General features: G+C 39.7%; 1 protein-coding gene across 1 annotated transcript in view, besides 3 other annotated features; it reads left to right on the forward strand.

Annotated features, from left to right (window-relative positions):
* The window catches only part of CNTNAP2 (contactin associated protein 2), a 2,304,198-nt gene that overhangs the window by 1,868,242 nt on the left and 408,756 nt on the right, over window positions 1–27,200 (forward strand). The gene's annotated exons all lie outside the window — the stretch shown is intronic.
* Window positions 14,373–15,029: an enhancer, noted in NCBI's record as "OCT4-NANOG-H3K27ac hESC enhancer chr7:147696507-147697163 (GRCh37/hg19 assembly coordinates)". NCBI's record gives its function as "activates a minimal SCP1, AML or CMV promoter by ChIP-STARR-seq in naive and primed H9 embryonic stem cells {active_cell/tissue: H9 hESC(naive and primed)}" and the evidence as "EXISTENCE:reporter gene assay evidence [ECO:0000049][PMID:30033119]".
* Window positions 15,030–15,685: an enhancer, noted in NCBI's record as "OCT4-NANOG-H3K27ac hESC enhancer chr7:147697164-147697819 (GRCh37/hg19 assembly coordinates)". NCBI's record gives its function as "activates a minimal SCP1, AML or CMV promoter by ChIP-STARR-seq in naive and primed H9 embryonic stem cells {active_cell/tissue: H9 hESC(naive and primed)}" and the evidence as "EXISTENCE:reporter gene assay evidence [ECO:0000049][PMID:30033119]".
* Window positions 26,615–27,116: an enhancer, noted in NCBI's record as "NANOG hESC enhancer chr7:147708749-147709250 (GRCh37/hg19 assembly coordinates)". NCBI's record gives its function as "activates a minimal SCP1, AML or CMV promoter by ChIP-STARR-seq in naive H9 embryonic stem cells {active_cell/tissue: H9 hESC(naive)}" and the evidence as "EXISTENCE:reporter gene assay evidence [ECO:0000049][PMID:30033119]".

Raw genomic sequence — 27,200 nt, forward strand, 5'->3', positions numbered from 1 at the left:
AGGCAGAGGTTGCAGTGAGCCGAAATCACGCCATTGTACTCCAGCCTGGGTGACAGAGCAAGACTCTGTCAAAAAATAAATAAATAAATAAATAAATAAATAAATAACTATTTACAAGTTCATCTCTGTTCCTAGATCCATTTATTCTCTCTGGTAATCCCCTCAACAGAATTCCTCTTCTCTCCACTCCCATAATCTATTTTTCCAGGATGGTAAATAAGCTTCTGAACCCCCACTGGGGGTGGGGGGTGGGGAGTGGTAATCCCTCTGGGGCTCTCCTTGGTTCTCCACATGTACATGTTAAATCAATATGTATGCCTTTTCTCCATTTAATCTGACTCTTGGGAGTTGATTTATGTTTTTACTTTTTTTTTTTTTTTTTTTGCGAATCTTCAGAGGGCAAAGGGGAAGATTCCATTGGCTCTTACACTGGCAAGCTGTGTCTTCTAACTTACTCTTACATGAAGGGCTGGTTCTGAAAGCAGAGATAAAAAAAGGATAGGTGACAAAAACTGCTCCCAGTCCCATGCTTAGTGGAGAAAAGATCCCCCTTGATTTTGCACCCCTCTTTTTGACAAGTCATCAAACAACTGATCTTTTTCCACTTACTGCATCTATTTTGGCTCCCCTAACAGTGTACTTCTTAAAAGTAAAAACAAAATCTAATTCACTTGTATATTCTCAGTAGTATCACATGCCTAACACCTAGAAAGGATTCAACAAATGTTTGTTGAATGAGGAAGAAAAATAATACATCAGAGCAGAGGGAGAGTGATAATGCCAGGTTTGGCCTGAAACTCAGCTTCTGCCCTTAGGGCACTCATCACCCCAAGCAGAGAAATCTCAGGGCGCTGGGGCTTTGGAGTTCTCTAATGGAGCCACAGGTGCTGGGCCAACTGACTTCCTACATGAAATCTGGATTTTAGACCCTGTTTTCCTAGACCCCTCATTTCCTGCTTGGGTACAGCTCTTGCCTCTGCCTTTTCTTTTTTAAAGTTTTCATTACACTGTGTACTGATTTCTGGCTCACTTTGCTTCCCTACTATTGTTCTGAAAGCTTATCTCTGATTCAGCCCCACCCAGAAAAGAGAGGTTGCCTCAGGCAATCTATGTAGGATGATAATAGGTGTATTACCAGCATAGAGGACCACTTTCTCTCTGTCTCTCCATTCCTGCCCTGGCCATTAATTATAATACATTCGATTTACTTGGGTTTGGTCTTCAGCCCTCATGCTTTTGCAACATCATGATGGGCTCATACATGATTTTTAAAAAGAGCATTAACATCACAAATCTCAGAATGGGTAACGTTTGATCATTCCCAGTAACTATTTCCTGAGAAGATGCTCTAAATTGTTTTTCTTTCCCCATTTTTTCCCACAAAATGTGGCTGTATATTTTTGCCTCACGTATAGCTCAAAACAAGACCAAGAATCACAGTGTCCTAACAGTGGAAGCGTCTTAGAGATCAACCAGTGCAGAACCTCTCATTTTACAGATCAGGGGTCTGGGTCTAGAGAGGTTAAGTGACTGGCCCAAGGTCTCAGAGCTGGTATACAGCAGAGCACATCGAGAAACAGTTTAATACAGCCTTCATCCTTAGTAATTCCCCAGGGCCAAGATGAATGTTGACACCCAAAGAGGAAACTTTGACCTGGAACAATGACCTTGGGTCTCTGCCTATCAACAGCTGAGTGGGTATCAGAACTCTTAATCTTACTCCATCATGAGATCAATCATCTGGAAATCTTGATAGAAAACCTACAGCCACAGAAGTGAGGGTCAGTGGCAGAAAGTTGATGACTTCTGTTTTTTTGTTATGTTTTTTGTTTGTGTGTGTGTGTGTGTGTGTGTGTGTGGTTGGTTTTTTTTAACTTTTTAGGGTTGATAATAGAAGGCATGAAAAAAAAAACAAAAGCAAAAACGCCCTGGAGTGATGTGTAGAAATCATTAAGCTCTATTTTTTCTTAATGTCCCAGCCTTCACTGCTATTGCCATGGGCTACTAACAACTGAGAAGCAGTAGTGGGTCTAAGAACAAGCAGAAATAGTGAAATTTTCAGGATCACAACCTAGGCTGACTCCCATTAATGGATTGAGCCCACCGGGCATTTCTGAGGTCAGGTCCAATTACAAATGCTGTAGCTTTTACAAGTAGATGGAAGCCTTCCCTTTTATCTTCCAGATTCCAGAGTGACTTTAAACAATTAGAAGAAATGGACAATTCCTGCGAAGGAAATCAGCTCTTTAAGATTACTCAGTTACTCAACTTCAGCTGCAAACTCACTGTTGAAATGGGACGTAAAATTGGTTACAGTTTGGAAAAAAGTCTTTCTGTTTTACAATTGACATGATATTTGTGTGCGTGTGACTGATTTTCTTACCTGTCCTTTCAAATACCATTTGTATTTGGAGGAATCGTCACATGCCACAGAGGAATTAACGTGAATGAGCTGATGCCAGACTTGGTTCTGCAGGTCTGTGTTGTCAACAAAGAGTCAAATTCTGTAAAATATTTGAAGACATTTATTCTGAGCCAAATATGAGTGACCATGGCCCATGACACAGCCCTCAAGAAGTCCTGAGAATGTGTGCCCAAGGTGGTTGGGACACAGCTTGGTTTTATACATTTTATCTATTTTATGTTATTTTATTTTATATTTTATTTTTTGAGACAGAGTCTTGCTCTGTTGCCCAGGCTAGAGTGCAGTGGCATGACCTTGGCTCACTGCAACCTCTGCCTCCCAGGTTCAAGTGATTCTCCTGCCTCAGCCTCCCAAGTAGCTGGGACTACAGGTACATGCCACCACACCCCGCTAATTTTTTTATTTTTAGTAGAGACAGGGTTTCACCATGTTGGCCAGGCTGGCCTCGAACTCTTGACCTTAGATGATCCACCCCTCTCGGCCTCCCAAAGTGCTGGGATTACATGCATGAGCCACCACGCCTGGCAGGTTTTATACATTTTAGAGAGGTATGAGACATCAATCAAATACATTTAAGAAATACGTTGGTTTGGTCCAGAAAGGCGGGACAACTCAAAGCGGAGGGTGGTGGGGGTAGGGGTTCCAGGCTATAGGTGAATTTAAATATTTTGTGATTGACAATTTGTTGAGTTTGTCTAAAGACCTGAGACTGATAGAAATGGAATGTTCATGTTAAGATAAAAGATTGTGGATACCAAAGTTCTTTTGAAGTCTTATAGTGGATGCCCTTAGAGACAATAGATGACAAAGTTTCCTATTCAGATCTTAATCTCTTTAGGATTGGGAGGGTCTAGAAGAAAGAGATCTAGCTATGTTAATAGAGATTCTTTACAGATGCAAAATTTCCCCCACAAAGAACAGCTTTGGAGGCCCATTTCAAAATATGGCTAAGAAACATGCTTTGGGGTAAAATATTTTGATTTTCTTCCTTGTCTCATAATGTTATATGAGTCAGGTTGGAAAATAAGTCACAATATATAGGTTAAATAAAACCCATCTGATGAAAATTTATTATTTGTAGGGCATGACTCCCCACACCTCTTAGATAGGAATTTGGGCAAGACTTAAAAAAAAACAATCAGAGTTTAGTCCTCAGTGTGGCTGGATGGGTTCTGCCTCCTCCATGTCCTCTCTCTGGGTGCCTCTCCCTTCCTGAACTTGTTACTCTCTGCAGAAGAAACAGCATCCCCAGATGCAGGCGGGAGATTTCTCTGCAAATTGAATCCCCGTAATTTGGTTTCTCTGCTGAACTCTCTGACCAATCTCTCACCATTTGAAGAGAATTAGTCTTGGCCTATTGGATCTAAACATCCACAGTGTGGAGCATACTTTGGAAGTGACAGAAACACGGAGTGAAATAGAGTCTAACCTATTCCAGGATCAGCTCCTGAAAACAAATTCAACCTAAGAGACTTTATTGAGAAAAACGAGACATGGCTCTGATCCTGGATCAGTTTATGTTTCAGTGAGGGTGAAAATTTTAACAAAGTGGAGGAGATTAGGATGGAAGTTTGGATTCCTAGTGGGACTTTGAGTGGAAAGCTGAGAGGCCTCATGTAGTTGTGCTTTACAAACATTAATGTACTTAGAAACCACCTGAGATCTTGTTAAAATGCAGATTCTGATTCAGGAAGTCTGGAGCAGGACCTGAGATGCTACAAGGTGTGGCTGCTGCTAGCCAACAGGCCACGCTTAGGCCAGCAACCTTACATAGCAGCATGGTGAACAGCACAGACTTTGGAATCACACCCACCTGGGTCCAAATCCCAACTTTCTCCCTCACTAACCATGTGCCTTTGGACAAGTTCCTTAACCTCTCTGGGCTTCTACTTCTCACCCAGATCCTTACCTCAGCTGCAAATGAGAATAATTGTAACATCACTGAGTTTGCTCCAGTAAAGCCTGATTGTCCCCAGTCCTTGCACATAGTCAGAGCTCTCTAAGTGTTAGCCAACATCATCATTCTTATATCCATTTGCTGTGGAAAAAGTGGCAGGCTTGATATCAGAAAAGCTCTGCCCATCTTCCTGCTCCATGTTCCTGTCCCTGTACCCTTGACTTCATGCCTTTTCTTGGAGAAGACAGGCCTAGTCTCAGGTGACAGTGTAGCATCCAGCCATTTAGCTTCTCCTAATTTGGAGGTGCTGGCCACAATACCTGATTAGAGCTCAACTGCATTTTCTGAGTCCCCAGGGACAATGTCCTTCCACATAAGCAATCTCTCATTTCCTTCTCATCATGTGGATCTCAGCTTCGATGTTAATTCTTCTAAGAGGACTTCTTTGTCCACTCAGCTGACATAGCCACTCACACCTCCCTACAGCCCTTCTTAATTTTCTTCATAGAATGTGCCACTCCCTGGAATTATCTCTGCAATGCACAACTCAATTCTGACACCAACTGCCCTGAGTTAGCACAGCCTTCACAAGTTAAAAGCACAGTCCCCAACAAAACAGCCTTCTCTTCACACACCAGCTGCAAACTTGGGTGGCTCTCAAGCCACTCACATTTCTGACCAACTGACTACAAATTTGGGGTTGCTACTATTCTTTCAGGGTCAATAATTCACTAGAATGACTCACAGAACTCAGGTAAGTGCTATACTTATAATCAGAGTTTTGTTATAAAGGATACAAATCAAGTCTAGCCAAATGAAGAGATGCACAGGGTGAGGTCGGGGGAAGCTTCAGAGACAAGAGCTTGCATGTCCTCTCCCTGTGAAGTGAGAATTGTAGGAGTTAAAGAAAGAGGAAAGAAACACAAAAGGCAGCTCAACAGTCAAAGACAGGTTTATTTTGGAGAACAAACCTAAGAGGGGCTTCTGGCTGATTTCAGTCAAGAGCACTCTCTCTTACAGACTAAGAGTATTTAAGGGTTTTAGGGTGAGAGAGCTTATCACAGGCTTGGACTGTTTCTGTGTGGAAGAGAAGTTTATTGCAGGGTTGAAATGTCTCTGGTTGGAGGGGGGTTATCTTGGGGCTGACATCTCTCCGGCCTCTCTGGCCAGAGGGGAGATTATCTTGGGGCTGGCATGTCTCTGGCTGGGGAGGGGTTTATCTTGGGGTTGGAATGTTTCTGATTGGAGATATCATTTGTGGTTTATGGTCATGCTGACCTTAGCCTGATGCCCTTTGGACTTAGGCGATTTTTTTATCAAGGGGAACTTTAAAATGGCGGTGCTTGTCCAAGATGGTGATGCTCCTGCTCTGTCAAGAATTCCCTACTCTTCTGGTACACCAGTGTGCATCACCAACCAGTGACGCTCACCCAGGCTTTGGGTGTTCAATGATTTATTGGGATCTCATTCTGTAATCATGATTGATTAAATCATTGGCCACATGATTAAATATAATGTTTAGCCCCCTTTTCCCCTCCTCCCTGGAGATCAGGCTGATATCAGGAAGCTCAAAGCCTCAACCCTCTATCAGGTGGCTGGTCTTCCTGGCACACCCAGCCCCCATCCTGAAACCACCTAGGGGCCCACCATGAGTCACCTTATTGGCATGGACCCAGGCATGGTCCCTGGCGCTCACTATGAATAACAAACACTCCTATCACTTGAGAAAGTCCTAGGGTTTAGAAACTTGGTCCCAGGAACCTGGGACAAAGACCAAATTAATGACCTGTTATGAGTCAATCTCTTTTCTCTATTTATTTGCTTTATTGTCACCATTGTCCCTAACAGTAGACGGGAATCTCAGGCAGAAGTCTGTATCATGGTGCCAAGGACAATGCCTGCCACATTGAGGCACTCAGACATGTGTTCATTAAATTAATATGAATGGTTAAATAACCACAAAAGATGATTTAAATTAGCATTTCCAAGTAACAATGGAGGCAGTGCATGAGGCACTTCATGATAAATTGCAGAAAACTTGCACAGACAATAATTGTTATAAAGGTCCAAGAGAAGCACTATCACTTGATTTATATGCACAACTATTTTTAACCTCAACAGGGTTTTGCACATTTATTCATCTTAACTAAATGAAAACTTTTATTCCTTTGTACCTTGAAAATCCCTTGAATCTGATGATTATCTTTAAATTAAGGATTAAAAAAAAACTCTTTTGCTAAGTTTTTATACATTCTTTGGCAATTCTAAATTAAGATGCACATGAAGTATTAAATTTATATAACTCATTGTTTAATCTAAATTAGATTAACCCCCTTGGCCCTTCAGAGATCCAAGTAGAGGCTTCCATACTTTTGTTTATCCATGTCTCAAGGTTATTACTGACAAAATTACAATTAGTCAGTACTTCATGTCCATTGTTAGGGTGCTAAGCTGTGAGCTATAAACTACCTCACTCTGGCATAATTAAAACCGTGTTCCAGTTCACCTATTTTATGATACCTACTTGGCTTTCCATAAAGCTTCTTTTCACACTCCTAACTATGTGCAGGTCTGGGAAACTTGGGAACTTTACTGAAGAAAACTTTAAACATAAGCTTCTTCTTGAAGTTTGCTGATAGTTCTGTTATAGCAGTCTTACTATCATCAGGATAAAAAAATTGTACTAAACTATTGTAAAAACATAAGATTTGTATTACTACCTCTTTTTTTTTTTTTTTTTTTTTTTTTGAGACAGAGTCTCGCTCTGTCACCTAGGCTGGAGTGCAGTGGCGTGATCTCGGCTCACTGCAACCTCCGCCTCCTGGGCTCAAGCAATTCTCCTGCCTCAGCCTCCCAAGTAGATGGGATAACAGGAGCATGCCACCACACCCAGTTAATTTCCACGCCCAGTTAATTTTTGTATTTTTAGTATAGGTGAAGTTTCACCACATTGGCCAGGCTGATCTCAAACTCCTGACCTTAAGTGATCTGCCCACCTCGGCCTCTCAAAGTGCTGGGATTACAGGTGTGAGCCACCATGCCCAGCCTCTATTACTACCTGTAAAATAAATCCTAATTCAAAAGTCGCCATGTGTATGTACATAGGAAATAGTGCATTTGAACTGGCATTTACCTACTGGCATAACAAATTGCTCTTTGGAATAGATGCCTAGTCCCAAGTTAAGAAGAAAAGGGGACTCCTGTGTCCCATCCATAGTTTCTCATTAAGTCCAAGAGCCAATTGTGCTAAAGTAAATGAATATCTTCAAGCTAACCTATAAGGGGTGGTGGGAATATTAGTTGCTAGACCAACACTTAATCAAGAATCTCTCACACTGTCTAAGGGTGAATAGAACAACTAGACTTGTAGAGGATTGCTTAATCTTTTTATGAAAAAGTCATGTGCCAATTAAGATTCTAGCCATACCTCCTTCAGGGTTTTCTTGACTTACTCAAGCTTTAGACAATGAAGTGGCTCAATAATCTTTTCTGTAATCCCTATGTCTAATGTATTAAGTATTCCTTAATTCAATTTGGTAGATTACCCTAATCGATTTTGTTTTCTGGTATTTAAACCTTTAGAATTTAATTATATTATACTGAATAGGATACAAAGTAGGACTTGAGCTTAAAAGATGGCCTTTCATTTCACAGAAAAGAAATTTATATGTCAAGTATTTTGCTGTGGTATTCTCATTGACATAGCTGAGATGATAATGTAACCAGTTCACGACGTCAGGATTGCTATGAGAGAACCCCGTTACTGGGTGCTTGATTTGCTCTTTTGGTTTATCCAAAGATACTGAGTTTGCTCTGACTGCCTCGGTTTTCTCCATTTTAACAAAGGCAAAAACCAACACTTTGTATTAAATAACCTAAACCTTGGCATTGAACTTGTCAAAAGAGAAAATGACCTGAACATTAGAGCCAAGAAGATACTCTGTTGTATTTTACTTTGTTACTTAGGTATCTTTATTTATTCTTTACTTATATATTTCAAAAAGACATAGCCTTCCTTTATGGAAAAATTCATTTGTTATTATTTAAGTACAACAGATAGATAGATGCTCCAAAATTAAGTCTGAGTGTTTTCTTTGCCTGCAGAACTGACAGTTTGCTTGGCTTATGCTGATAATCCCCAAAAAAGTCGCTTGTGTCTTGAACATCCATAGGAAATAAAACTGTAGTTCCGGGCAGTGTCGATAAGAAAGCAAACTTTACACCTTCACTTAGGGGTTGAGAAAGAGAATGAGCTATTGATTCCACTCTGAACTTTAGATGGCCATATCACATCTGAAACCAGTCATTTCGTGGTGGGCAGTATTAAACCCGACTTTGTCTTATGACTTTACAAATTAGCGAATTATGTTGTTATGATAAGAGAACCCAACAAAAGTATCTGAGTTTGGAACATCAATTTTCAGGATGTTATATATTTGAGAACACTTCTCCACTGCTCCTCTAACTCCTCTAGCCTACCTAACTTTAATAGCCAGGCCTCCTTCCTACCTGTTTCCTTCCCCCTTCACAAGAAGCACCTATTAAGGAATCAAGAAAAAAAAAAGGATGACACTTACTTTCGGAATAAAGTAATATAGTCTCTACTATTTCTGCTTTCACACAGATTTGCCCTCCTTTCTGGCACAATTACACATACACACACACACACATGCAGATATACTTACGTATGCACACATGCAGGTATGCTTAGAATTTAGCATTAGGCTGGGTGCATTGGCTCACACCTGTAACCCCAGCACTTTGGGAGGCCGAGGTGGGAGGATTGCTTGAGCCCCAGGAGTTTGAGACCAGCCTGGGCAACATAGCAAGACCCTGTATTTACAAAAAAATAAAATAATTAACCAGGTTTGGTGGCACATGCCCGTGGCCCAACTACTTGGGAGGCTGAGGCAGGAGGATCACTGGAGCCCAGGAATTCAAGACTGCAGTGAGCTATGATTGTGCCACTGCACTACAGCTTGAGTGACAAAGTAAGACCTGTCTCAAAAAAAAAAAAAAAGGAACTTGGCATTTGCAATCCTGAACCTACTTTAACCCAAGGTAATATGGTTTGGCTCTGTGTTTCCACCCATATTTCATCTTTTAGCTTCCATAATTCCCATGTGTTATAGGAGGGACCCAGTGGGAGATGATTGAATCATGGGGACAGGTCTTTCCAGCACTGTTCTCATGATAGTGAATGGCTGTCAGAAGATCTGATGGTTTTAAAAATGGGAGTTTCTCTCCAGAAGCTCTCTTTTTGCCTGCTGCTATCCATATAAGATGTGACTTTCTCCCCTTGCCTTCCACCATGATTGTGAAGCCTCCCCAGCCATATGGAACTCTAAGTCCAATAAACCTCTTTCTTTTGTAAATTGCCCAGTCTTGGGTATGTCTTTATCAGCCATATGAAAATGGACTAACACACAAGGTAACCACAACTCAGGGCTTAAAACTTCTGGACACCAGTGTAGTTGGAAGATATAGAGAGGAAGCTGAAGAGAAATGAGAGGCAGCCTTGGAACTCGTTCCTCTCAGATAAGGGGGAACTGCTATAGTTGTACTCATGGGTATGACTACAGCAAAAGGATACAAAGCAAAGTCAGCAAAAGGAAACGTGCATGAGATGAAGTCCAGAGGAAACCAAACACAAGCTTCCAAGAGACTCCCACTGGAGTCCACAGAACACACTTAATTCCCCCAGCTATTAGTTGTGGCATCATGTGTGAAATGCTGTCTACAACAGAGGCTCACTAGAGACTCAGCACCCAAGGTTTTATTGGGTACTGGTCACAAAGGCAGCCCCTACCAGGCATGCACCCAAAACCCAGACTCCCAGAAGAAAGGCAGTTGTTTAGCACAAACCACATTGTTTGTACCAACAGTTCAGCATAGTGGGGCATTCTTATTAATCAGTTAACCCTCCTGAAATCTAACTTGGTGGGCCAGCCATGGGAAGCACTTCTCCAGCACAAGGATGCTGCCTCTCTCCTTCCCCTGCTCCCCAAACCCTTCTCCACACTCTTTTCCCTCTCCCTTCCATAGAAGTATTAAGAAGATGTGGGAACATCCAGATCTTCAACCTCACACCACCCTGCATCACACTCCTGACACCATCATACTCCACTTCCACCTGGCTTTGTCCTGCCTCTTCTAATTCTTTTGTTGTTTTTTTTTTTTTGAGATGGAATCTTGCTCTGTCACCCAGGCTGCAGTGCAGTGGTGCAACCTCAGCTCACTGCAAGCTCCTGCCATTCTCCTGCCTCAGCATCCCAGGTAGCTGGGACTACAGGCGCCCGCCACCATGCCCAGCTAATTTTTTGTATTTTTAGTAGAGATAGGGTTTCACCATGTTAGCCAGGATGGTCACAATCTCCTGACCTCGTGATCTGCCCACCTCGGCCTCCCAAAGTGCTGGGATTACAGGCATGAGCCACTGTGCCCGGCCTCCCTGTCCGAATTCTTAGAGAAGGAAAAGAAAAAAGACTGTGCTCTTTTCCCTTGAGCTGATCCTTTGTATCTCATGGCCTGCAGTTTCTGCTGCATCCATTCCCCGGGCAGCACCAGCTACATAATTTGCAAAGTCCAGTGAAAATGCAAATGCAGGACCATTTGTATTGTGAATTTTAAAAGAGAGACAATAAACCAGGTGCCAGGCCCTTCTGAGGCTGTGAGGGTCACACACCTATGTTTCTACGTGCTAGCGAAAGCACAAGGTCAACCCTAGATTCTGAATATCACTGGGGCATGGCAGACCTTGCAGATGTGGATCTGCAAGCTTGGTTTCTCTAATAGCTTTGAACCACAAGAAACATTTATGTGATGAAAACCAAACTATATATGGCAAAAATATTTAACACAGGGGCTTCTTATATGTACTGGCAAACCATATCATATTATTGAGTTTTCCCTAAACTTGATTACAGAAATTACCTGGGGTTCTTATCAACATGCAGATTCCCACACAGCTCCCCTAGAGATTTTGATTTGGATTCTCCAGAGTGGAGCCCAGTAACCTGTTTTTAAGAAGTTTTCTAGAATATTTTTCTGACAGGGAAAGTGTAGAAACTTAGGCTCAGAATATTTGGGGGCAGACAGGCCTATGCTGAAATTCTCCATTTATCAGCAGTGTGACATTGGGAAAGTTATTTAATTTCACTAAGCTTCAATTTCCTCATCTGTAAAATAGAAATAATTGTGCTAGTACAAAAGGTTGCTATGGGAATAAAATGAGACAAATGTCTGTAAAGAACTTAGAACAGTGACTGCTACAGTAAGCTGTCAGTAATCGTAGTTATAAATATTACAGAAAAAGAGTAGAACTCATTTAAAACCCTCAGTTTTGTAATACTAGATGAATTAAGCTTAAATGCAAATTGCTAAAGGCAACAGTTATTTCTGTCAAATTAAACTCATTCAGAAATAATAAATTACAATCTGAAGTGAACAAAAGGCTCAATCAGTCATCAATGGTAAACATTTTGAGCACTGCTATGGTCTGTTTTTGTCTTTCCAAAATTTATATGTTGAAACCTAATCACCCACATGACAATATCAGGAGGTGGGGCTCTGGGAGGCAATTAGGTCATGAGGCCACTCCCATTAATGGGATTAGTACCCTTGTAAAAGAGACCCCAGAGAGCTTATTGGCCCTTTCTGCCATGAGAGACTTCAGCTGGAAGGCACGATCCATAAGCCAAAAAGTAGACCTTCATCAGATATCAAATCTGCCTTAATCTTGGACTTCCCAGCCTCCAGGACTGTAAGAAATAAATTTCTGTTTTTCATAAGCTACCCAGTTTACGATATTTTGTTATAGGTAGCCCAGACACACTAAGACAAGCACCTTGTGTTGGCAGTGTCACGATGCCTCCGTTCTTGTCTTCTTAGTTTAAAAGAATTTAAACAGCTGGGTGTGGTGGCTCAGGCCTGTAATCCCAGCACTTTGGGAGGCCGAGGCGGGTGGATGACCTGAGGTTGGGAGTTCAAGACCAGCCTGACCAACATGGAGAAACCCCGTCTCTATTTAAAAAAAATACTGAATTAGCTGGGCGTGGTGGCACATGCCTGTAATCCCAGCTGCTTGGGAGGCTGAGGCAGGAGAATCGCTTGAACCGGGAGGCGGAGGTTGTGGTGAGCCGAGATCACGCCATTGCACTCCAGCCTGGGCAACAAGAGCAAAACTCTGTCTCAAAAAAAAAAAAAAAAATTTAAACAAGAGACGCACAGTGAAGCGGGTGCAGCATAATTTATTGCAAAAGAAAAAGAATACTTTGAAAGTTAAGTGCAGAATAGACAGGATGCTCTGAGAGAGAGAGGAGTCAGGGTGGGCTGCCGGGGAGGATGAGACAGAAAAGATTGGCGGGAGGGAGACTCCCCTTATGGGAGTCTTACCTGATTATTCCTAAGGAGGTGAAAAGAGGTGTTACCAGTAAGCATGTTCTGGGTGGTTCTCTGGGTGCACATGCGCAGTAGCCGCACATGCGTGTTCATACGTCTCATGTCTCATTAACATCTTAAATCTCCACCTAGGGGTGTATTTTATACCATTATAATGAACAAAGGGTCAGTCTGAGGACGGATGAAATCAAAGTGCGCATACTCTCTACAGGGGGAGTCCCTAATGAAGATAGCTTTGCTTGAACGAGCTCAATTACCAAGCGAATGCTGGGGCTTATTGTATTGACTGTGTGGTCACCACGGTTGCTGCGTCCTAAGAACATGGTCATTTCTTTTTTCTTTTTTTTTTTTTTTTTTTTTTTTTTGAGACGGAGTCTCACCCTGCTGCCCAGGCTGGAGTGCAGTGGCACAAACTCCGCTCCCTGCAACCTCTGCCTCCCGGGTTCAAGTGATTCTCCTGCCTCAGCCTCTCGAGTAGCTGGGATTACAGGCGCCCGCCACCACGTCTGGCTAATTTTTTGTATTTTTAGTAGAGACGGGGTTTCACCGTGTTGGCCAGGCTGGTCTCGATCTCCTGACCTGGTGATCCGCCCACCTTGGCCTCCCAAAGTGCTGGGATTACAGGCGAGAGCCACGGCGCCCGGCCCATGGTCACTTTTTTGACTACCTATCCTGCCTCATTGATAGCAGGCTGCAGATACAGAGGCGTGACCGATGATTTTTGCAATCAAGGAATTGATCATCTATTTCAGGATAAGTTAGAGAGGTGAGAAGATGCATCTCTTTAAAAGGAAACACATAAAGGTTAAAGGGCAAAGCAAAGAGAATGAGTAAAGACCATTTTCCGTGGGGATTGGTGGAGTGGGTAGAAGGCTTGAGCTGGAGAATATTAGACAATGATTAGCCAAACGTAAAGAAGCAAAAGTTTCCTGTAGAAAAATATGCAAACATACACAGTAAGCATTCAGTAAATACTTGAATGAGAAAATGAGACCTGAGTTGGAACCAGAAAAACCGACAAATGCCAATAATCCCAGAGCTGAAGATAGTCTGTAGACAGTGGGGAGTTTGTTAGCCAGAAATAGGAGGGGTGAGTGGGAAATCTTTAATTAAAATAAAACCTTTAATCTTTAATTAAAATATTAAACTCTTCACTTGTGCTTAGTTGCAGAGATCTATGCCTATGTAGTTTTTTAAACAAATAAAACAAACATTGCCAATAAAATGATGTAATTCAATAAAGGGCTTACAGTAGGTTCCACATCCAACAACGCTATACTGAAAATACACAATTAAAACTTATTGTTATATTCTCATTATAGAAGTCTTTTTTTTTGAGACAGAGTGTTACTCTGTCACCCAGGTTGGAGTGCAGTGGTGCAGTCTTTGCTCACTGCAGCCTCTGCCTCCCGGGTTCCAGTGATTCTCCTGCCTCAGCCTCCTGAGTAGCTGGAATTACAGGCACGCACCACCACACACAGCTAATTGTTGTATTTTTAGTAGAGACGGGGTTTCACCATGTTGGCCAGATGGTCTCCTGACCTCAGGTGATCCGCCCACCTCGGCCTCCCAAAGTGCTAGGATTACAGGCATGAGCCACCATGCCCGGCCAGTAGAAATCTTTTTTAAGAAGACTTTTAAAAGCTACTCATTTTAGACAAGCCTTTCTTAATTGTGTAAGAATGCTTGGAAAAAAGTAGTATTTTACTATTTTTAATAAATCTGTAAAATTATTGATGACTGCTAGCTTTTCTGTTTTGCTTCATTTATAAGTGAATGAACAGTGATTGTTGTGGGTTGAATAACATTCCCCAAAAGAGATGTTGAAGTCGTATCCCCTCATGCCTGTGAATATGATCTTGTAGGAAATAGGGTCTTTATAGATATAATCAAGTCAAGATGAGGCCATACTGAATTGGGGTGGGCCCTAACCCTATATGACCGGTGCCTTATAAGAAGAGAAAGCGCACACACACACACTCTCACACACGGGGAGAACACTATGAAAAAATGGAGGTAGAAGTTGCAATTTTGCAGTTGCCCTGCCTTAAGCCAAGGAACATGAAGGATTGCCGGCTACTGCCAGAGCCTGGGAGAGAGGCACGGGTGAACATTCTCCCTCAGAATCTGCAGAAGAAATGAGCCCTGCCAACTTGGACTGTGGATTTCTACCCCCAGTACTGTGGGAGAATAAATTTCTGTTGATTTGAGCCACCCAGTTTTTGGTACTTTGTTAAAGTAGCCTGAGGAGCCTAATACAGTGACTTCCTAATCAAAGAATGTGGAGGCGCAATTCAAGTGGTCTTTTCAACTCCAAGAGGATTGGGCTGTGTTTGTTATGGTTAAAGGACCATTAGCAGTTGTTGAAAGGATAAAGGGAAGGTACTTCAGTCTGATGCGGAGTCAGTGAGGACACCCACCGCTCCCCTGCAGAGCAGTGTCTTGAGAGAGAAAGGGTTCTCCTCTCTGTAGGAGAAGCAAGCTCCATTCCTGGTGCTCCTCTGTATGATGGGCATGGCTACCTATGCCTGCCCTCCAGAGGGGAAGAAGCCTTTGTGTTTAGGACCCCGGGATGATGTTGACAGCTATGATCACATAATAATAATTGTATGATAATGATTGCAGATAACATCTGTTGCGTATCTACCATGTGTCAGATCTAGTTAAGCACTTCACAAATCAACTCATTTAATCCTCGCAAGTATATAGTCCATGAAGGTCATATTATTACCCTTATTTTACAGACGTGAAAACCATGATAGAGATTCAGTAATTTGCTCCAAGTGACACAGTGAATGACAGAGCTGGAATCTAACCCAGGCAAATTGGCTCCAAAGCCCATACTTTCAGCCTTTACAGTTTAGCAAGGCTGCACCAGACCCCAACAAAAACTAGTTCTTTTGTATAACAAGAGAAAGATTCCCTGGCTGAATTCTAGCAGACTAGATTCCTCAGTGCCATTACGGGCTGAGGACTTACAAACATGAGGAAAAGATAATGGCTAGTTTGGTTTTCTAGGTCTGCCTTAGCAAATTACCACAAACTTGGTGGCTTAAACTAGAGCGACTTCTCTCAACAGTTCTGGAGCCAGAAGTTCAAAGTCAAGCATCAGCAGGGCCACATCCCTCTGAAGGATCTGGGGGAGGATCCCCTTCTTGACTTTTCCAGATTCTGGGGGCTCACGGCAGCCCTTGGCTTATGGCAGCAAAACTCCCAACTCTGCCTGTCTCCACAAGGATTTCATTGTGTGTTCAAGTGTCCTTTCTGTCTCATGTCAGGAAAGTCTCATTGGATTTAGGACCCACGCTAATTTAGTGTGATCTCAAGTGATCCTTAGCTTAATTACATCTGCAAATACCCAGTTTCCAAATTAGGTCACACTCTGAGGTTCTGGGTGGACATGAATTTGGGAATGGGGAATGATATTCAACCTGCTACAATGGCCAAGAAACATCTACCTAGTTCAAAAGAGAACAGGATCTACTGGAAAGCTTCTCAGCTCTTGGAGCCCCACAACTGTGTCTCCTGGGTCCTAGCCTTCAGCCTGGCTCTCAGCACAGCTCTTTGCGGATAACATGGCTCTACACTGCGTCGAACAGATTTGGTGGCAGTGACTCACCTAGCAGAGTTCTCAGCAGCCCACCTGGAAGGTCCCATCACATTGTTGTTATTGCAGATAGCACTTTCACTGTTACTCAATTTTTTTTCTAGTATCTTGTGAACAATGTGTTTCAAAGTATAGGACGACTTGGTGGTTAATGTCACAAAAGCAATCATTGGAGTTGTCAATCACAGAATGACATTACATAAAAGAATTAGGACTCTTCTTGCTCAAGATGCTTTATACATGAGCATAAATTGAGAGTTATGTATATTTGGATAGTAGAAAAGCTATACATTAATGTGCATCTTAATGAGGATGATTTTCTTCTTTTGATAACCAATGTGTCTATGAAGCCATCTAGCTAGGTACTGGTGAGAAAAATGTTTCAAATAAAGTATTTTTATTGGAGCATATAAAAGAGTTACAAAAATATTTCTGTAAAATTTTCTGGTCTATTTTTTTCAGGTTGGTACTTTTTAATGGTTTAGCTGTTAAATAAGCTTCATCTATTAACTTGTATTCAGAAATAAGCTTAATTATTCATCAATTCATGCTCACCTTATATTTTATGGTTTTCCAAATGGATGATATCTTCTATGTCTGTACATTTTTTATTAAACATAAGTCATTTTATGCCCATAAAGCTTATTCCTGAAAAAATTATTTTGCTACTAAAAAAGATCATTAAGTTCACAAATTTTCTCTCCATGGCTTGATGCTGCTATCTTTCTGCACCATAATTAGTTGCATGTATAGTTAATTATTATGAGAAAAGCAGAACATCTCCCAATTTCTACAAGATACTTAGAGTTTGATGGTTTAACTATGTTTTCTCCTTCATTTCTCCCATCCACCCTCCAGCCACGTGTATTTTCATGGTAGGAAGATGATAAGCATACGCTTTTTCAAAATGACAGCAAAATGTTCATCAGGAACTTCATAAAGCTTTGATAGACTGAATATATATTTAGAACCAGCATTTCAATGGCTCTTTACCTTTTCTTAAGAATTTCCTTATCTATGACCCTCATTGCTAGAAAAAAAATGCGCACTTTTATATAAACACAACATTTTTCATATAATTTTAAAGAGATTTGAAACCCTCTGAAGGCTATATGTAGTCCCCATGCCAAGAATGCCAGATTTGGGAACCAACATTTCTTATCCATTTATAATGCTAATTAATTATTTCTCTTAAAAAATACTCTAGTTAGCCTGTAAAATTCATTTAGATGACACATTTAATTTTGCCCAAAACCTTGATTTTTTTGGAGGAAAAAATAATGTAAGAAAATACATTATTTTAGGTTAGGATCTTTAAATTCTCACAGTCAACCACCATGGTTTCTTTGTACGACCTAAGCTCATTCACTGGTGGGCAAGTGTTTTGGGGACCAGGAGTGGATCTGATTCATCTCTGTATCTGCCACAGAGCCTAGCATGATGGTTTAGACATGGAGGGAGCTCAAGTAATACTGTTACCGGTACACTTGTTATTTAATTTTAAAAATTAGGAATGGCTACTGTGTAAGTACATAAACATTTAAGTTCATAAATTTGTTTACAGTTGAACACAAAAAGGCCATTTGTGTTCAGATATGTGACCTGGGGAAGAAAGATGAAATGGGTATTTTGATCAGCACGGGGAGCAGTCAGTGGGCCTACAGAGAAGGCGATTAGAAAAGCCTTGTGCTGACAGTGCAGGTTCTATGATATGGAAAGAACTAGTGAGGAAGATGCACATGCTTAGTAGCTCCTAGGAAGAGTTCTCAAGGAGCATCAACCTCTATGTGTCCTTCCCAAGGAAGCAGTGGGCCCTAGATTGGAGGAATTCAGGATAAAACACACAGTCCTGCTAACCATTTCTTATCCCAGTCACCTGAAGGGATGAGATCAGAATTACTAGGGAAAGACTTTGCAGTGGGATAGATATGCTTCCAAGGTACTTCTCCCAGCCCCTAATACTTCCTGTTTGCTAATGCTTAAAATCTCTCTAACCTAAAATCTCCCTAACCTAACCTTTCATTTTAACATTAGAGGAAAAAAAATTTGCTAAATATTGACTGAAATTTATTCACCCTAAATTTAATCACAAAAGTACAAGAGCAAGCATACTTCCTCTCTGATTCCGTGAATGAGAAGTATTGAGGAGCCAAGGTTGGAGAAGGGGTTACCATTGAGAATCGGAGAGGGCACCAGAGGTCAAGACTGGGGAAAAAGACAAATTGAAAAGACATTCTATCTTTCCCTAGGATTGTTCCAATTATCAATCCTATTAGATAAGCATATGTAGAAACCTGGTATAAAAGAAATTATTTTGTATGGCTAACCACTCTCCTTCAAAAAACTTCACAATTTGTTAAGTTTAGATAAAGATTTATCCTCTTGTTTGATTAGTTTCCTTAGAAATAAATTTCATTCTTAGGGGTTTCACTAATTAAGATAAATAGACAATTAGCCTCTTGGCAGCAGAAGCTACTTCTTATTTATCTCTGTATTCCCAATGCCTAGGCCAGTGCCTAGCATAAATATTGTGCTTAATCAGGATTATAATATGTATATTTCTTGAATGAAGATAACAAAAATATCTATTACAACTCTAAGTGATTTATTAATTGATTTGAGAAAGGATTTATGTTAACTTACAAAAGTTCATTCAATAAGAGGTTACATCAAATATTTAAATCATTGCAAGAGGAAATTAGAAGTAAAGCCAATGAAATGAAGTTATATAGCTAATAAATCAATTTTTCTTAGTTGTAATAAGTATACAAAATCTTTCTGCATGTAATGTGTATGCTATCAGCTTAATATAGGCATGTTTTAAACCATGATAAAGAAAATATTCCAATATCTCAAATTCTTTCAGAATTATGCCAACCCTAGAACACAGTTTCTAGTATGTGATTAAGCCTTCTATTTTTTAAAAAAGTATTTCTCAATTGACTGCTTTACATAAATCATATAGGTGTAAATTTGAATTATTACTACATAAATTTTTCTTAGATTTATGACAGAATTAAAATAGCCTTTTAAGTCTTAAAAATATTAATAAGAAAAGCTCAATTATGTGAACACAGCTAATAATACATTCATTCTGGCAGGCATTGTGCAAAGTTTTCAATGAATATGAATATCTTTATGAAATATGAGAAGCTTTGTTCATTTACATACAAGTTCCTTAGTCTCCTACATTAATTATTTTTTCTCATTTTTTCATGTGGAACCTTTTCCAGTAAGTTCTCATAAGACAACAAATGACCCAGTGGAGTACCTATTTAAAACATTATAAACAAAGAAAGCTTCTTTCTTCAGCCCTGTTCTTTAATATGTAATGAAAATGCTTCATCTTTCATTACAGAAATGTTTTATGTTCTAACCTCTTAACCTCATTATTATAGTTTGGTTAGATTTTTAAATAGAACTCGAGTTTTTCTCAGTGTTTCAGACAGGAAGAAAGGTGGAGTACCTGACAACCTGTTCCAGGAAAGAATGTTCAATAATCAAGCATCTATCTCCTCTTCCTGAGTTAATCCAGTTAGCTTATGAGGCAAGCATGGGGGAGTTGCAAAGTAAATCAAGGTGCTGAATTCTACTCTCATCCTGATCCTAAATGGATTGAGTTTTGTTCTTTCTTATGTACTATCCCCATATTCACAGTTACAGACTTTGCAGGTCACTTGCTGTCTTTGTCATATTGGGATGCTCTAACATACCATAGACTGGGTGGCTTATAAACAACTGAAATTTGTATCTCCCAGGTCTGGAGACCAGAAGCCTGAGCCCAGGCTGGCAACAAGGTCAGGCTCTGGTGAGGGCACTCGTCTCGGTAGCAGTCTGCCAACTTCTCCTTATATCCTCCCAAGTGGGAAGAACCAGAGAGCTCGTTAGGGCCCCTTTTTATAAGGGCATTAATCCCACTCATGAGGGCTCCATCCTAAAGACCTAATAATCCCCAAAGGCCCCCCTTCTCATGCCATTACATTGGTGATTAGGGTTTTAGCATAGGAATTTGTGGGGGACACAGACATTCAGTTCATAGCAGTGGAAGATAAGGGGTGCTGTGCAGACATCATGGGCTCTATGTGTCACATAATGTAGCATCTCATACAGGGTAAACAATCGCCACTGTTATCTCTTCCCAAAGCCCTGCTGTGGGGTCTGCTCACCGGCCCTGCATCCAGTCAAGGAAGGGGAGGTGGAGAAGGGCACTTGAATGCTGAGTGGCACCAAGAGGAATGTGCAGATGTCATAAACTGGAAAATTGGGGCTAAAGGTGAAACAGCATCATACAAATGTCTTCCCTCCAAAAGCTCAATCTTATTTTAGAAATATATGATCCATGAGGACTTTATCATAAATTGGCCCAAAACAGCCAGTCAGCTACTGAGGGTCCTCATTTTCCAATGAGTGCATGTTTTGCTGCTTCAGTGGTCCAGCACGATTTGGAAGTATTATTGCTTTGTTACTGAAGAGACCTTTGTTTTGATTCAGTTGCCAATATTCTCTAAGATGGTTTAATGTGAGCCATGGTACTTAGGTGTAATCCTGTAAGGTTTCTTTTCCTGGGATTCACAGTCCCTGCTTTCAATAGAGTCTCACGAGGGTCTATGACCCTTCCAGACAGCACTGATTTCAAGTCTGTATCACTTTATAAAATCCTACACATAGTCGTGATCTTAGAAAAAAAATGGACACAATATAGAACACAAAAAGATGAACCCATTACTAACAAATCTCCATATATCCATTGTATCTAAGTCATACTCTATGAGCCCAAAGGCTAATAAAAAAACAGGATCAGACCCAGGTACAGGGGCAACAGTGCCAACTTCTGAAAGCAGGGATATTGGTGTAGCGAAATAGAGAATATGAAAGAAAAAACAATACTCTGTGAGAAATAGCCTAGTAGCCTATACTTTATGCCAATAAGCTTTATAGGAAGTTCTTTTTTTTTTTTTTTTTTTTTGAAACAGAGTCTTGCTCTGTTGCCCTGGATGGAGTACAGTGGTACAATCTCTGCTCACTGCAACCTCTGCCTCCCAGGTTCAAGTGATTCTCCTGCCTCAGCCTCCTGAGTAGTTGGGATTACAAGCATGCGCCACCACGCCTGGCTATTTTTGTATTTTTAGTGGAGACAGGATTTCACCATGTTGGCCAGGCTGGTCTCAAACTCCTGACCTCAAGTGATCTGCCTGCCTCGGCCTTCCAAAGTGCTGGGATTACAGGCATAAGCCACCGTGCCCGGCCATAATAGTAACTTTTATATCCCAGACAAAAAAAAAAAAAAAACTGAGTTAGGCTTACAGACTTGACTCTGAGGGGCTCATGATAATAATTTTCTTTTTTTTTTCTTTAGTTCGTTTGTTTTAGCATGTGCTCAGAGGAAAAAGAAAAAGAATTTATGGAAGAAATCTCTAAATCATATTCCGTTCTTTCATGAAAGTGGGCAATTCAAATAATTTCACTCAATTTTCAAGTGAGATATTCACAGTAATTTGTATCTTCAGGTTGAGGCTAAGCTTCATTGCACTTCATGGGAATATATAGAACATTCTAGCAAATCTTTCTTAGACTATTACATCTTTGACTTACATGTTTATGAAGAATCATCTGTGCCTCTGATTGGCCTTATATAAATACAAGGGTCATTTCAGAGAGCAGTTCTTAACTGACTTGGAAAAGCCTAAGAGCCAAACAATTCAGCAGCTCTTCCACATTGATGGCACCAGCCACATGCAGTACATGTGCTTTACGCATTTCATTATTGCATCTCTTTGTCTTATGAGTTTATTGATGGAAAATTGTGCCTTGTCTTTTATCAAGTAAACATATTTCAGAAGACATCTACATGCTATCAACAAAACAGAGCAAATTCAGAAAATGTAGGACTTCGTTGTACTTGGGGGATTACTTCAATTGCCTTAATAGTCTACCAGAGTAGAAATATTACATTCTTTAAAGTTCAGATAAATAATTTGTGCTGCTTATGTAGGAAGTAAGCTATTCTCCACTGTAAGCAGTCTTTTATGTTGACAATATAGAAATAATCTGTCTTATAAGCTACACTGCATCTAAAGCCCTGACACTACAGATTTATGCATACTTCTGGCTGAAAATAATATTGAAATGTGAAAATGAAATCTTTCACCAAATCTCTGGGAACATAGGTTTGAGGCTGGCTTTGGAATCACTAAAAATTCATTGATTCCCAAACGTAGACTAAGTACCATAAGAACTGACTAGGGTACTTGATTGAGCTTGTGCTGTATGGTTTATTACACTGGTGGTAGGAATGTGTCAATAGTGATTATACTGCTCTAAGTATTTTGTTTTAGGGTATGATTCTAGCTTCCCTTGTATCATTACTCAAAACTCCAAATGAAGTGTGTAAGAGTATTTTTCAACCCTGGATTTACTTGCATTCCATACTCATTAAATATATGACACAATAAAATGTCTAGGTCTTATGCAAGGAACTTCAACTCTTCTATGGCTCCTGGCCTAAAAAGGTATCTGTGAGAGGCAGAATAATGTCCGCCACCAAAGATGTCCACATCCTAATCTTCAGAACCTGTGAATATGCGACCTTACATGGCAAAGGGGATTTAGCACTTATGACTAAATTAAGGATCTATAAATGCGGAGATTTTCCTGCAATTCGCTGGGTAGGTAGAATCTAATCACATGGATCCTTAAAAATAGTAGGAGGAGGCCGGGCACAGTGGCTCATGCCTGTAGTCTCAGCACTTTGGGAGGCCGAGGTGGGTAGATCACGAGGTCAGGAGTTCAAGACCAGCCTGGCCAAAATGATGAAACCCTATGTCTACTAAAAATACAAAAAAAAAAAAAAATTAGCTGGGCATGGTGGCGGTTGCCTGTAATCCCAGCTACTCGGGAAGCTGAGGCAGGAGAATTGCTTGAACCTGGGAGGCAGAGGTTGCAGTGAGTGGAGATCACGCCACTACACTCCAGCCTGGGTGACAGAGCAAGACTCCATCTCAAACAAACAAACAAACAAGCAAAAAACATTTGAAGCATTGAGATTAAAGTGTTTTCTTTGATTAAAAATCTGTCAAGAGTAATTAGAACCTGCTTCCTTTCCTCTTCTCATTGTACAGCTTACAATATGGATCAAGAAATTGTTTCTATTGACATACTTCTTTCCATGTTTAGATCGGCTTCCAAGATCTTATCCTTTCCACTTTCAATGTCATGAAAAATCATTGAGAGTTCCTTTAATGCGAAATGTTATGCCAGTGTCACTTCCTGTGAGACAGCTTCATCCTTTTTGGGGTCACAACCACCTTCCTTATTTGTGTAGTTCAATTCATTTAACCTGAGTTCCTCTGGCTACAAATCTGGAGTCTCTGAAACAATGACACATTCAGCTATTGCTTCTATAACTCCATTTACATTCATTTCACATTTCACTTTCAGCATCATCACTCTCTGTTTCTTGATGCACTTTTATCTTAGTTAGCCAATTCTCCCTTCTCGTGTCCAGTTTTGTAAAGTGTTATATGGGCTTATCACTGGGAAACAAGGAGGCAACATAACCACATGCTTTGCTGTGTGTGGAAAGAATAACATTATGTGGAGTAACAAACCCTTAATAGATTTTGAAAGAAGTGACATGGTTGGTCACTGATCATGATGCACATCTGTTATTTCTGTATAGATACTTCTGAATGCACAATGAGGTTATGTCCCAATAAATCCATAGAAAACACATAGTTGAAAATATATCAAAAGTTGAAAATTCGTTTAATACACCTAACCTACCAAACATGATAGCTTAACCTAGCCTACCTTAAACATGCTAAGAACACTTACAGTAGCCTAGAGTTGGACCAAATCACCTAACACAAAGCCTATTTTGTAATAAAATATTGAATATCTCATGTGATTTATAGAATACTGCACTGAAAGTGAAAAACAAAATGGTTGTACAGGTACTCAAAGTACAGCGTCTACTGAATGCATATGGCTTTTGCACCTTCCTAAAGTACAACAATTTTAAGGCAAACTGTCATAAGTCAGGGTTCATCTGTAGTGTTTTTGGACAGGAGAGCTAGTAACAAAACTTGAACACTATACATATGCATAATTAAATTTGTATATTATGCAATTACTCAAACTTAGTATAGCACAGTAACTAAAATTTGAACCATGTTGGGAGACTGGTATATTTACCTATACTATAGTAACTGAAATTTATGCATATTAAAGTGTGTGCAAAGCAAGGACTGCCTCTTTGTGTGTGTATGTGTATGTGTGTGCTCTGTATGTTTTGCATATTTTCAAACTTTAAATAAATGCCATCATATAATATTTATCCTTTTATGAACTTGCTATTTACATTCAAACAATGTTTCTGATTATTCTTATTAATGTATGCAGTCACCGTTTATTTCTTTTTCTGTTTTATGATATTCCATTCACATGACTATACTACACTTCAAGTTATTTATGTATTCTTTATTGAAAATATATATTGCTTTCAGTTTTTTATTTTTGCAAATATGACTCCTCTGAGAATTAATTTATTGCTTCCATGTAGTCATGTGCAAGAATTTCTCTAAGGTAACTATATCTAGGTGTGGAGTTATTCAGTTTTAAACCTTATTAGATATTTCCAAATTGTTTTCCCAATTTACACTTTCAAGTAAGTTTTAATTTTATTTTGACTCAACTTGCTCCATAACAGTTAGTATTGGCAAATTCCATTTTACCAATCTGATCACATAAATGAATGAGGCTAAACTAATTTAATTTGGGTTTTCTTGATTAAGGGTGAGACTGAGCATATTTTCAAGTTTCCTCAAATATGAGTTATCTGTATCTTTTGATAATTATATTAATATATATTATTTACATAAACCAAATATTAATGTTTATAATTTGTATATACTGCAGCTGTCATCTCCTAATCTTTGTCTTGTCTTTTTATTTGAATTATGATATATTTTGATGTGCAGAAGTTTTAATTTGAATATAGTAGAATTCATCCATTTTCCTTTTTGGTTTATGTTTTGTGTCTTATGTCATAAAAATATTATCTTTTGTGCTTCATGCCTTTTTTCTTTTATGATGTCTTTTTTCTTTTAAAAGTTTTAACCGTTTTCTATGTTTGGGTCATTAAAATACATGGAACTCAATTTTTTTAATGGTATAATCTAAGGGTTCAGTTTCTTATTTTTGACACATATACAACCAAATTTTCCATCATCAAACATGGGAAAAATTCTTTCTCCACTGAACTGTAAAGCCACCTCTGTCATACATCAAGGTTTTTTTTTTTTTATTAGACTTTATTTTTTAGAGTCAATTTAGGTTCACAGCAAAACTGAATAGAAAGTACAGAGATTTCACATTCACCCTCTGCCCCCACATATGCACAGTCTCCCCTACTGTCAACATCCATCAAGTTTTTATACATGCAAGGGTCTCTTTTGGGCTCTATATTTTTTTCCTTTGTTCACATTGTCAATGCTGCACAAATTTCATACTGTGCTAGTGATACATCTTCATAATAGAACTTGGTTTCTGATAGAGTTTAGTCTACAGTGTTGATTTTTAATAAAGTTCTTAAAATTTCTAACTAAAATTCATGCAAATTTTGCTACTGCAAATAGTATCTTTTAATAAATTACTTTTTCTAATGATTGCTGATAGATAGAAATGTAATTTTTTGATAATGTGAGACAGAATTCACATTACATATAATTCATCCATTTACAATGTAAAAGTCAATAGCTTCTGTTTTTTGAAATTATATGTATATATATAATCATATAGTGTGAATTCTTTGTGTCTGACCTCTTTCAGTCAACGTTATGTTTCTGATATTCAAGTTTTTGTGTGTAGTTATGTCCATTTATTTTTATCACTGTAGAGTATCCCATCATATAAATATATCAGTATTTGTGTATCCTGTTTTCAGTTTGGGCTATTGCTGATTATACATCATTATTCTAGAATTTCCTTTTGGTACATTTTAAACCTGCCCACTCTCTAGAGAGTATTTTATTATTTTCTCACGGTTTTCATTTCTTTTGGTCTGTCTTACAAGTGTCTTAAGTATATTTGTTTTGTATCTTTTTTATAATTATTACATTACCTTGAGGGTTTAGAGGGTTTTTCTGGCACTTTTTCACAGTGGCTTATTTCCTCATCTGTTTTGGTATTTTTGTTATCTTTCTGCTTATCCCTTGCACCTTGCAATGTGTGAGACTCATTTTGTCTTAGGTTGATGTTGCTCTGTCTCAACAGGATTTGGATTTGCTTATACACGTGCTTTGATACATAATCTAGGTTGGGTTTATGTTCATTTATTGGCTTGGCTTTTCTTGGACTCTCAAGTAGTGTATACTCAAACTGTAGACCTCTGTGAGGGCAGGCCTGTGGTTATGAACTCTCAGGAGAATAGCTCTTCCTTATTCAGTATTCTGGCCAAGACAGATGACAGACATTTCCTATGGCCAGTAGTCAGCTGTGTTTCCTAGAACATCCTATCATTGAAGATGTAGCCTTCAGGGGCCTCAGCCCTGTGCATCCTCTAGATTCCCACCACAGGGGAGCCCAGGGCACTTTCCTGTCCCTGGAATGCTGTGCAATTCAATCCTCTCGCTTTCCAAGATAAAGGAATGTCCCCAGTTAAGGGCCAGCTCACCACTCTGATGTTCTTCCCCATTTTTTTGGTTTTTGCCTTTTTGTTTATTTCTTTGTTTAAGAGGGGATGTTGCTTTGTTGCCCAGGCTGGCCTCAAACTCCTGGCCTCAAGTGATCTTCCCCCCTCAGTCTCCCAAAGTGTCGGGATTACACTGGCATGAGCCATCATACCCAACCCTTCCCCTTCTTTTTCTACCATT

This window comes from Homo sapiens, chromosome 7 (assembly GCF_000001405.40).
Source record: "Homo sapiens chromosome 7, GRCh38.p14 Primary Assembly".
In the NCBI taxonomy this organism is placed as follows: domain Eukaryota; kingdom Metazoa; phylum Chordata; class Mammalia; order Primates; family Hominidae; genus Homo; species Homo sapiens.